Source organism: Homo sapiens, chromosome 3 (assembly GCF_000001405.40).
Source record: "Homo sapiens chromosome 3, GRCh38.p14 Primary Assembly".
NCBI lineage: Eukaryota > Metazoa > Chordata > Mammalia > Primates > Hominidae > Homo > Homo sapiens.
Window position 1 is genome coordinate 100,511,036 of NC_000003.12, and position 12,951 is coordinate 100,523,986.

At 42.1% G+C, this 12,951-nt stretch overlaps 1 protein-coding gene across 10 annotated transcripts in view; it reads left to right on the plus strand.

The window, feature by feature from the left end:
• Positions 1-12,951, plus strand: part of TMEM45A (transmembrane protein 45A) — an 84,826-nt gene that overhangs the window by 18,417 nt on the left and 53,458 nt on the right. For 2 of the 10 annotated variants that reach the window (XM_047448425.1, XM_047448418.1), the window contains exons 2-3: positions 8,042-8,281; positions 8,427-8,573. The exons of 2 other annotated variants lie outside the window; for them this stretch is intronic. In XM_047448425.1, the coding sequence (XP_047304381.1) occupies positions 8,529-8,573 (45 nt within the window). In that variant the 5' untranslated portion in view covers positions 8,042-8,281; positions 8,427-8,528. Of the gene's footprint in view, positions 1-8,041; positions 8,282-8,426; positions 8,574-12,951 lie in introns of those variants that run through there. 6 more of the 10 variants (NM_001363876.2, XM_047448419.1, XM_047448426.1 and 3 more) reach the window with 4 other exon arrangements.

The window sequence follows — 12,951 nt, forward strand, 5'->3', positions numbered from 1 at the left end:
TGGAAAACACTCTTCAGGATATTATCCAGGAGAACTTCCCCAATCTAGCAAGGCAGGCCAACATTCAGATTCAGGAAATACAGAGAATGCCACAAAGATACTCCTCGAGAAGAGCAACTCCAAGACACATAATTGTCAGATTCACCAAAGTTGAAATGAAGGAAAAAATGTTAAGGGCAGCCAGAGAGAAAGGTTGGGTTACCCTCAAAGGGAAGCCCATCAGACTAACAGCGGATGTCTCGGCAGAAACTCTACGAGCCAGAAGAGAGTGGGGGCCAATATTCAACATTCTTAAAGACAAGAATTTTCAACCCAGAATTTCATATCCAGCCAAACTAAGCTTCATAAGTGAAGGAGAAATAAAATCCTTTACAGACAAGCAAATGCTGAGAGATTTTGTCACCACCAGGCCTGCCCTAAAAGAGCTCCTGAAGGAAGCGCTAAACATGGAAAGGAACAACTGGTACCAGCCGCTGCAAAATCATGCCAAAATGTAAAGACCAACGAGACTAGGAAGAAACTGCATGAACTAATGAGCAAAATAACCAGCTAACATCATAATGACAGGATCAAATTCACACATAACAATATTAACTTTAAATGTAAATGGACTAAATGCTCCAATTAAAAGACACAGACTGGCAAATTGGATAAAGAGTCAAGACCCATCAGTGTGCTGTATTCAGGAAACCCATCTCATGTGCAGAGACACACATAGGCTCAAAATAAAAGGATGGAGGAAGATCTACCGAGCAAATGGAAAACAAAAAAAGGCAGGGGTTGCAATTCTCCTCTCTGATAAAACAGACTTTAAACCAACAAAGATCAAAAAAGACAAAGAAGGCCATTACATAATGGTAAAGGGATCAATTCAACAAGAAGAGCTAACTATCCTAAATATATATGCACCCAATACAGGAGCACCCAGATTCATAAAGCAAATCCTGAGTGACCTACAAAGAGACTTAGACTCCCACACATTAATAATGGGAGACTTTAACACCCCACTGTCAACATTAGACAGATCAATGAGACAGAAAGTCAACAAGGATACCCAGGAATTGAACCCAGCTCTGCACCAAGTGGACCTAATAGACATCTGCAGAACTCTCCACCCCAAATCAACAGAATATACATTTTTTTCAGCACCACACCACACCTATTTCAAAATTGACCACATAGTTGGAAGTAAAGCACTCCTCAGCAAATGTAAAAGAACAGAAATTATAACAAACTATCTCTCAGACCACAGTGCAATCAAACTAGAACTCAGGATTAAGAATCTCACTCAAAAACACTCAACTACATGGAAACTGAACAACCTGCTCCTGAATGACTACTGGGTACATAACGAAATGAAGGCAGAAATAAAGATGTTCTTTGAAACCAACCAGAACAAAGACACAACATACCAGAATCTCTGGGGCACATTCAAAGCAGTGTGTAGAGGGAAATTTATAGCACTAAATGCCCACAAGAGAAAGGAGGAAAGATCCAAAATTGACACCCTAACATCACAATTAAAGGAACTAGAAAAGCAAGAGCAAACACATTCAAAAGCTAGCAGAAGGCAAGAAATAACTAAAATCAGAGCAGAACTGAAGGAAATAGAGACACAAAAAACCCTTCAAAAAATTAATGAATCCAGGAGCTGGTTTTTTGAAAGGATCAACAAAATTGATAGACCACTAGCAAGACTAATAAAGAAAAAAAGAGAGAAGAATCAAATAGATGCAATAAAAAATGATAAAGGGGATATCACCACTGATCCCACAGAAATACAAACTACCATCAGAGAATACTACAAACACCTCTACACAAATAAACTAGAAAATCTAGAAGAAATGGATAAATTCTTGGACACATACACTCTCCCAAGACTAAACCAGGAAGAAGTTGAATCTCTGAATAGACCAATAACAGGATCTGAAATTGTGGCAATAATCAATAGCTTACCAACCAAAAAGAGTCCAGGACCAGATGGATTCACAGCCGAATTCTACCAGAGGTACAAGGAGGAACTGGTACCATTCCTTCTGAAACTATTCCAATCAATAGAAAAAGAGGGAATCCTCCCTAACTCATTTTATGAGGCCAGTATCATCCTGATACCAAAGCCTGGCAGAGACACAACAAAAAAAGAGAATTTTAGACCAATATCCTTGATGAACATCGATGCAAAAATCCTCAATAAAATACTGGCAAACCGAATCCAGCAGCACATCTAAAAGCTTATCCACCATGATCAAGTGGGCTTCATCCCTGGGATGCAAGGCTGGTTTGATATATGCAAATCAATAAATGTAATCCAGCATATAAACAGAACCAAAGACAAAAACCACATGATTATCTCAATAGATGCAGAAAAGGCCTTTGACAAAATTCAACAACCCTTCATGCTAAAAACTCTCAATAAATTAGGTATTGATGGGACGTATCTCAAAATAATAAGAGCTATCTATGACAAACCCACAGCCAATATCATACTGAATGGGCAAAAACTGGAAGCATTCCCTTTGAAAACAGGCACAAGACAGTGATGCCCTCTCTCACCACTCCTATTCAACATAGTGTTGGAAGTTCTGGCCAGGGCAATTAGGCAGGAGAAGGAAATAAAGGGTATTCAATTAGGAAAAGAGGAAGTCAAATTGTCCCTGTTTGCAGATGACATGATTGTATATCTAGAAAACCCCATCATCTCAGCCCAAAATCTCCATAAGCTGATAAGCAACTTCAGCAAAGTCTCAGGATACAAAATCAATGTGCAAAAATCACAAGCATTCTTATACACCAATAACAGACAAACAGAGAGCCAAATCATGAATTAACTCCCATTCACAATTGCTTCAAAGAGAATAAAATACCTAGGAATCCAACTTACAAGGGATGTGAAGGACCTCTTCAAGGAGAACTACAAACCACTGCTCAAGGAAATAAAAGAGGATACAAACAAATGGAAGAACATTCCATGTTCATGGGTAGGAAGAATCAATATCGTGAAAATGGCCATACTGCCCAAGGTAATTTATAGATTCAATGCCATCCCTATCAAGCTACCAATGACTTTCTTCACAGAATTGAAAAAACTACTTTAAAGTTCATATGGAACCAAAAAAGAGCCCGCATTGCCAAGTCAATCCTAAGCCAAAAGAACAAAGCTGGAGGCATCATGCTACCTGACTTCAAACTATACTACAAGGCTACAGTCACCAAAACAGCATGGTACCGGTACCAAAACAGAGATATAGATGAATGGAACAGAACAGAGCCCTCAGAAATAACGCCACATATCTACAACTATCTGATCTTTGACAAACCTGAGAAAAACAAGCAATGGGGAAAGGATTCCCTATTTAATATATGGTGCTGGGAAAACTGGCTAGCCATATGTAGAAAGCTGAAACTGGATCCCTTCCTTACACCTTATACAAAAATTAATTCAAGATGGATTAAAGACTTAAACATTAGACCTAAAACCATAAAAACCCTAGAAGAAAACCTAGGCATTACCATTCAGGACATAGGCATGGGCAAGGACTTCATGTCTAAAACACCAAAAGCAATGGCAACAAAAGCCAAAATTGACAAGTGGGATCTAATTAAACTAAAGAGCTTGTGCACAGCAAAACAAACTACCATCAGAGTGAACAGGCAACCTACAAAATGGGAGAAAATGTTCGCAACCTACTCATCTGACAAAGGGCAAATATCCAGAATCTACAATGAACTCTAACAAATTTACAAGAAAAAAACAAACAACCCCATCAAAAAGTGGGCGAAGGACATGAACAGACACTTCTCAAAAGAAGACATTTATGCAGCCAAAAAACACATGAAAAAATGCTCACCATCACTGGCCATCAGAGAAATGCAAATCAAAACCACAATGAGATACCATCTCACACCAGTTAGAATGGCAATCATTAAAAAGTCAGGAAACAACAGGTGCTGGAGAGGACGTGGAGAAATAGGAACACTTTTACACTGTTGGTGGGACTGTAAACTAGTTCAACCATTGTGGAAGTCAGTGTGGCGATTCCTCAGGGATCTAGAACTAGAAATACCATTTGACCCAGCCATCCCATTACTGGGTATATACCCAAAGGACTATAAATCATGCTGCTATAAAGACACATGCACACGTATGTTTATTGTGTCATTATTCTCCAATAGCAAAGACTTGGAACCAACCCAAATGTCCAACAATGATAGACTGGATTAAGAAAATGTGGCACATATACACCATGGAATACTATGCAGCCATAAAAAATGATGAGTTCACGTGCTTTGTAGGGACATGGATGAAATTGGAAATCATCATTCTCAGTAAACTATCACAAGAACAAAAAACCAAACACCGCATATTCTCACTCATAGGTGGGAATTGAACAATGAGAACACATGGACAGAGGAAGGGGAACATCACACTCTGGGGACTGTTATGGGGTGGGGGGAGGGGGGAGGGATAGCATTGGGAGATATACCTAATGCTAGATGACGAGTTAGTGGGTGCAGCGCACCAGCATGGCACATGTATTCATATGTAACTAACCTGCACATTGTGCACATGTACCCTAAAACTTAAAGTATAATAATAAAAAAAAAAAAAGAAAAGAACTATTGAGCCACAAAAAGAATGAAATCCTGTCATTTGTAGCAACATTGATGGAACTGCAGGTCATTATGTTAAGTGAAACAAGCCAGGCACAGAAAGACAAATATTACATGTTCTTACTAATACATGAGAGCTAAAAAAGTTGATCTCAGGAAAGTAGAGAGTAGAATGGTGGTTACCAGAGGCTGGGAAGGGTGTGGGAGGAGGATGAAGAGAGGTTGGTTAATGGGTACAAATATACATTCATATAGAAAAATAAGTTCTAGTGTTTGATAGCACAGTGAGGTGACTATCATGAACAACAATATATTATATATTTCAAAATAGCTAGAAGAGAAGGTTTGAAATGCTCCCAATACAAAGAAATGATAAATGTTTCAGGGGTGATAGATATCCCAGATACTCTAACTTGATCATTACACATTTTATGCATGTAGCCAAATAGCACATGTACTCTGTAAATATGTACAATGATTATGTATCAGTAAAAAATGTTAAAAAGAGAGAGCATAGGTGAGAGCTCTCTGCTTTTATCTAATGAGCTCCGGACTGCCATACTCCTGGACATGATAGTAGGAAGTCTCAATCAAGGGCAAGATTATGCTTTCTGGAGAGAAATACACTGGAAACTTGATATAATCTAATTGATGTTAATTGTGATAAGTGTTGCTGGTTTTACTTTTGGCTTCATACATAGTGACTTATGTTTTGTGGTGGTAATGAGTAAAAGAGGTGGGGTGAATTGATGAAACTGCTTCTGTGCCCTGATAAGTGGCTGTGTTCTGATTGGTTCTCAGATGGGAGTTGATTTTTCTACAGGAAGAGAATTAGCTTACCATTGTGAAACCACTGAAGGCAATGTCAAGAGAAGTTTACTTTACCTCCATCGCAGTCTTATTCCCACGTCCTCACTTTTTTCTCTTCCCTTTATTTCCTTCCTTTTCTCCCCAGACTCATGATTGCCTTTCTGTCAGCAACTCTCTCCAGGTTCTCATTGACACAGAAATTGTAAAGACTCAGAAAAGGCTATGATGGGATATTTTTCCTCCTTGTTTCTGTGAATCTTATATTTGGATTGGAAATAGAATTTATATACCACCTTACGGGATCCTTCTTCAATTTTTCTGAAATTAAGAGAGCCCATTTTTTTTTTCATAATGTGTTGAAGGAAATAGTTTTTGAAAAGTTGGGAATGGAAAGAGGTCAACTGAGAGGAGATTTTTTACTTTGAGATATCCTCTCCCTGGCATGAGATGAGTCCTTGTGAAGTGAAAAGATGGGGGCTATCTTTGGAAAAACACCCATCCCTGCTCCCAGAGAGCTCTGGGCCCGCATTTTATGGAGAACAGCATCTGCTCTCACATTGAGCCTGGTTAAGCCTTTGAATTTTCCTTTGCATGTGTTCTCAATCACTGATGGTGCTGAATCATGAGGCATATTGCCAGACGTGGGAATGAAATTTTTCTTTTCTTTTCTTTTTTTTTAAGACAGAGTCTCTCTCTGTCACCCAGGCTGGAGTGCAGTGGCACAATCTGGGATTATTGCAACCTCCGCCTTCTGGGTTGAAGCGATTCTCCTGCCTTAGCCTCCTAAGTAGCTGGGATTACAGGCATGTGCCACCACGCCCGATTAATTTTTTGTATTTTTAGTAGAGACAGGGTTTCGCCATTTTGGCCAGGCTGGTCTTGAACTCCCAAAGTGCTGGGATTATAGGCATAAGCCACCGCACCCGGCTGGGAATGGAATATTCCTAATGAGGAACTTGATACTTTCTGAAAAAGTAAATTTTCAGGAAAAGCCACAGGCTTGAAGTGTATCATCTTTCCTTCATGGTTTGGCACATCCACGTAAGGGTGTAAGTTCTGTAAGTTCCTTTTCCATGTGTTAGTTAACAAATGACGTTTAGAAATATCCTCTTTCTCACTGTCCCCATGCCAAAGATCAGCCTTTCATATTTTTCCTTAATTGTCAAAGAAATATTTGAGCATCTAAGGTGATATTCTTTATTACTGTGGATGTGATTTGGGAAACAATTCTTGGAGGGCAACTCTGAGTCTGTGGTGAATAAAAAAGTGAGGATAAATGTGAATGAATATTGTTTCTGGGGTTCTCTGTGCAGCTGGAAAAATGATGAGCAAGTTAGCTTAATTAGCTGAGCATCTTCCTCTTCTTGAAAGGGCTGTGATGCTTGTGATTGGAAAAAGCCGTTCTTACGTGGCATCCTTTTAGGAAAGACTGTGGTTTAAATGGGCTTGTTTACAGGCCTCACTTTTGGGCTTACCTCCACCTCCAAGCCATCCACCATCATTAGCCACGTTTCTAAAATTAACTTATTAGAGGAACTGTTTGATTCATTAGATAAGTGGGTTTTGATTGGGCGTGGTTATGGGGTTTAGGAGGGTCTGCTGGTTAGTTCCACTGAGACCCTGAACAGTATGAAGGGGAAGGCTAGTTAAGAAGCAGAAAGAAAAAAGGAAGCCATTCTTCTCAAACATTTTGTTGGAAGTCTGCTGAAAGATTCATTTTGCTTCTGGGCCCCACAGATTGCATAGCTGGTTCTGCCTCTATGCTTTCAGGTCGCTCAAGTGTTAACAGGAGTGAGAAATTAGAATCAAGGGCCCATTTCCTCACTTTCTTCCAAGTTTCTGTATCCACATGTGCACTGTATGAAACTGCTGTCCATACTCTTGTCTTAATTGATTTAATGTTTAATCTCCTTTAACAGAAGGTTTGCAGAGGTCTCTTTTCTTCTTCTAGTACAACTTGCATACTTATTTAGAGTCTGTAGTTAAAAGGGTGATTCAGGTCTTGGCAATATGTGAAACTTCTGTCCTTTGAAAAGAAGTCATTTTTAAAATCTTGGTTTACTTTGTTTTATGGTAACAAGACAATACATCTTCTTATTTATTTCATATGTGCACTCCACACTCATTCCAGCAGGCCTTATTTCTTAAGCAAGAGACAAGAAATGGCCTTATTGACTGGCAGGTACAAGTGCTGAAACTAGCACTAATGACTGTGAATATTCATTCCTGAGTCGTATTTGTGTTCAGACTCAGGTGAGGGGTGCAGACTGGAGTGTTCGTCTATTCCCCTTGTGTGGGTTAAGATAAGCATGAGATGGTCGGCTTAGGTTGGCCCAGGTGAGAGAAGCAAAGTGATGGGTGGCCCTGTTCCCTGTGGGAGGCTTTACTTTTCCATGCTTACACACTGAACACCTAAGCTGGCTGGTCAAATAATCAAGAGGCAGACTTGGTAAAAATGTGAATAAATGAGTGTAGTTACTATATAGCCATTAAAGAAAAATCTGCTAATGGTGACTCAGTAGTGCCTCCCTGATTGTAAAGGACAATGTCTTCTGGTGAGCTGTGAGCATGTTCCATGGGTTGACAATCAGATTTACATGTCTGATGACATTAATTGCAGGGTGCTATGGGCCAGGTTTCTGAAGTTGGGTGGAGGTGGAGGCCACCGGCAGTGAGTACAACGCCCAGGGGAAGCATGTGAGTGGGAGGAAGAAAAGAGAGTTTTCTGGAGCTGTTGCAATGTGTATGCTGGTGAAATCTACTTGAGCATTAAGCAGTATCTCCCAGCATTGTTAGCTACTGAGTGGCACATCTTCAGTACGCATGATTCGTGGGGGACTCAGGCAGAGGTAAAAGTGTGGTAAGTTTTAATACTGTGTTTGCTTACTAGTTGCTTTTGACATGCATACAGGTTGTGTGTGTGTGTGTGCATGTGTGTGTGTGTGTGTGTGTGTAAAACTGACTGTAAGATGTCAAGTTTCAGCCTATTGATTTTTTTATTCCAGAAACTTTTCAGCATTACCTAAGAAGCAAAGGCTCAATTTTGGCTGCTTCATTCTTATCTCTTCTGCCACAGTTCTAACGTGCCTGATCTACTGAGACCAAGGATGACCAATGACTCAGAAGGGAAAATGGGATTTAAACACCCAAAGGTTAGTTTGGCGTTTCTGCAGTAACCTTTGGTGTGATAATGTGAAAAGAGCAAGAACTTTTGATTCATAAAGACCTAGTTTGAACCTGACTGTACCGTGTATTTATGACATTGTGCAAGTAACTTATTGTGGGTTGTGGCTGATCAAGGCAAAGTTAATACTAGCCTAATGCTGATGATTCTGTAGAAATTTTATTTCATTTTATGTTGGGATCTAGCATTGTGGGTGGATAGGAAGAGTTGATGTTGAAGATATGTGCCTTAAATGCTTCTCTTGATTTCTGTAGCATTTTCTTCCTCTGGGGCCTTCAGGAATCTGGCAGCTGAAGCGTTAGGTCTACCAGGCACTCTTTTTATCCATCCTTCCCATCCATCCATTTATCCACTCAACACTTAGGTACTGAACCACTTACTGTATGCCAGACACAGTTCTAACAGCTAAGGATTAAGCAGTGAAGAAAATAGAAAAAAAAATCCTGTATACATGGAGCTTTCATTCTAGTGAGGGAGGAATGCAATAAACAAAATAAGTCAGTAATTATGGGTATATTAAAAGGGAATGTGTTACAGGGTAAATAAAGCAGGAAAAGAGGGTAGGGTATTGAGGCAATTTTAAATAAGGTGATGAGAGCAGGTCTCATTGAGAAAGAGCTCCCCTGCAGAGCTCTGAAAACAATTTGCAGACAGTGCCTTCTTGTTATTACCAACCAGCAGTGCTCGTTGCCTTGTCTTCCTCTTGTTTATTCACTGAGGCCTCACCATTTTTGGTCCATGAAAAAAATAATTGTTTGAGAGCATAGAATATGACTTTTGGGTTTTCCCTTAGGGCTATGTTAAGATGCTAGTAGATGCTAGTTAAAGGATACCTTGGTGAGGCCCTCTTTTCCGCCCTTGCTGGGTTCTGGAAATGATACCTTCTGCTCTGTTATCCATGTGGCCTTATACATTGGGTACCTACCTGCAGAGCTTTTTGTGCATAACCTCTCTAGCCCCTCTTGTACGCCCCACACAAACCTCTGACTATGCAGCTAAGTATAGTCCCTTGTAGGGCTAGGCCTCTGCTTCTAGTCTTTTCCCTGCTTTCTTGGAGGAGCAGGCAGGCACGGGTTGCCAACCTAACTTCATGCTTTTGGATAACAGCAACCTCTGCCTTCACCATTTCCTGACCCAACATAGTGAAAGGAGAGTGTCTCATCACCAAGAAAAGCCTCTCACTTTCTCCGTCTTGGTCCAGGAGGTAGGAGAACAAAGAGGAGCAAATAAGTCAATCACATCATGGTGTCACAGCCAGGCTGGGACCTGGAAGCAACCTTTGCAGTACGAGGATGGGATCCACATCAAGAAGACACCCAGTCTTCTTTGGCCCATGATGGATCATGAGTCAGTGAATGTTTCATTAGCTTTCATGAAGGGGGATATCTGCTTTCTGGTAATTTTCAAAATGTTAAAGAACCCCTTTCGGAGCTAGGAGCAAAGTTTAGCGCGTGAAGCTCTGTGAAGGCAATGGATGCCTTTTAATTTGGGATTTAGTAGAGCTTAAATTCCCTCTGATACATCCTAAGTTCCCCAAAGGCAATGTGAATGGATGGGGTCTGGGCAATGTCTGCACCTCCAGCTGAGATGGGATACGGTAGGGTTTAGCTTTCATTTCCCCTTTCTTTTTTTTTTGAGACCGAGTTTCCAGTTGCCCAGGCTGGAGTGCAATGGTGCAATCTTGGCTCACCGCAACCTCTGCCTCCTGGGTTCAAGTGATTCTCCTGCCTCAGCTCCCAAGTAGCTGGGATTACAGGCATGCACCACCATGCCCGGCTAATTTTGTATTTTTAGTAGAGATGGGGTTTCTCCGTGTTGGTCAGGCTGGTCTCGAGTTCCCGACCTCAGGTGATCTGCCCGCCTGGGCCTTCCAACGTGCTGGGATTACAGTGTGAGCCACCACGCCCAGCCTCATTTCCTCTTTCTGATATGGATCTCAGAGGTGGCTTCTCCTTGGCTAGGAATATGACATTGCCACACCAGCTGCAGCACGTACGCACACACCCTGGGGCTTTCCACCCCACATCATTCTGTGCCAGTTGTGTTGGCCTTTTTCTGCCCACTGAGGATCTAGAGAGACAATGATGTCAGCCAGAGCTGCTGTGGCAGGTGGGGCTGTTCTGATGTCTGATCAAGTGGCCAGAGCCTCCTTGCCACATTCAGCTCCTGCCCACGTCCTCTAGGCTGGCCCCAGTACGGCTCTGGGCCACTTTCCATGACTGTGAAGTATATTTCTGCCCAGCTTAGTAGTAATGAGGAGTATTTATTTTTATACGTTTGCTTGTTGTTTCAGGTGGTAAGAGTTCTGTAGAAGCCAGGCTTTCCTAACATCCCAAGTCCTTCTTAGGCAGCATTTTGGTGCTCCAGTTATATACCTGCCCAGTTCTGTCCAATATTGAGTTCCAATCTATACTTGAAAAGACAAAGATGAACAGTAACAGGAGAGTAACTGTTGGGGGTGGGGGTAGTGGGCCCAGCTGCACTGACAATAACAATCCCTTCCCCACCCCTCCTTGGTTGTCTGTGAAGCTACTCTAAGGAGTAATTCTTCCCTGGACCATACCCTGTTGGGAAGCGAGGTGTGGAGGTGCCAGGCAGTGGTTTGGGGGGCTGACTCTGGCCCTTGACCTGTGAGTCACAGCTGTGTGGGAGATGCAGTATCAGTCCCTTGATTTGTTTGTTTTTCTGGATTGCACCTTTGTTGACAGTCTGGCACTTACTCTTGTGCATTTTGTTATTTATTTTCAATGGTGCAAGGCCCCAGTGTTCCATCCTCCTTCTGAATTCACAGAAACATCCACGCAAATAGACTGGCCTTGGCTCGGACTCACATTTGAGAGACTTCAATCTCCTTGGCCTGTCAAAATGAAGTTCTTCTTAAAAGTCCTAACTCTCTGGTGCTGGCCTATAGTCTAATCAATGCTTCCCAACCTTTTTCATGTCACAGTATACATGGACATGACATGATTTATGTAGGTGGGAGGGCTCATTCCTAGGCAGTAGGCCATCGGGGTCTGGCTACTATAGTCCTTGCCCCCTCACCCTCACCTGGCTGTTCCTGGGGCTTAGGGAAATTTGTGTTTCCCTCTGGCACACCTGTTCCCACTGGGGGCACACAGGTATGCTACAGCTAAGGTTAGAAGTTCTGGCCCAAGACCTAGCATAGACCACAATCTCAAGGTGCAACAAAGTGTCTCGTCCATAAACATCTTTGAAGATGATCCTAGAGGGTGGATGTACTTTCCCAGGATGTTGTAAGTTTGGGAGAACCAAGTTCCTGTGGTTGCGCCCATTGCTTGGTGCAGTCTGCCACCACCTGTCCTTCTAGAAGGAAGGGTAGAAGGATGCCAACACTGCATGTCCCCTGTCCCCTCCAGGCCAGCATGACCAGGATCCTTGGCTCTGTGGCCAAACTCTAATGCTTAGCACTGCTTCTTTCCATCCTACCATATTCTGGGGTTATTTCACATGACTTCCACAGGTTCCTGACCTCCCAGCTTTGCTACATCTTCTGCATCGCTTAGAACATCACTTCTTATGCAATGGTTGCAGGTGTCATAGACGTTCTGCTGATGTTGTCTGTTTGTGTTGCCGTGAACCACACCTGGATAACTGGTCTGGGTGGAATTCAGCTACTGCAAGAGTACATACTAGTCCTCTTTTAGCCCTTATGACTGTGTGGTACCAGGTGGTGGTTCTTACATTTAAACAGAGCTATGGGCTCATCCATCCATTCATTCATTTATTTACTCGTTTAACAACCCTATTCAATAAATGCTGGGTACTGGGAATATAAAGATTAAAGTCATAGTCTCTGCCTTTCAGGAGCTCACAGTGCAGTGAGGGAGATCCAAGAAGTAAACAATTATGATATGCATGAGAAATTCCATTGGGTTCTGTGGGAACACAGAAGAAGGGGAAGATTCTTGCACTTGGAGAGTGGTCAGAGGAGGTTCCCTGGCTGAGATGAGATAACTTTTAGCTTGAATCTTTTCTCCTCTTCCTCCTCCTCCTCCTTCTCTTCTTCCTCCTCCCCCTCCTTTCTCCTCCTTCTCCTTCTCCTCCTCCTCCTTTCTCCTCCTTCTCCTCCTCCTTTCTCCTCCTTCTCCTCCTCCTTCTCCTCCTCCTCCTTTCTCTTCCTTCTCCTCCTTCTTCTCCTTCTCCTCCTCCTCCTCCTTCTTCTTTTTCTTTCTTCTCTTTCTCCTTCTTATTCCTTTTTGAACAGAGTTATCTGGGATGTGTGCTAATTGAATGAAGGAAGGAAGGGAACTGCATAGAGCTAGAGAGCGGAACTTCAAGTGCCACCATTTTGTTTGGTCATAGTAGAATTCTAATGGGCAACAGTA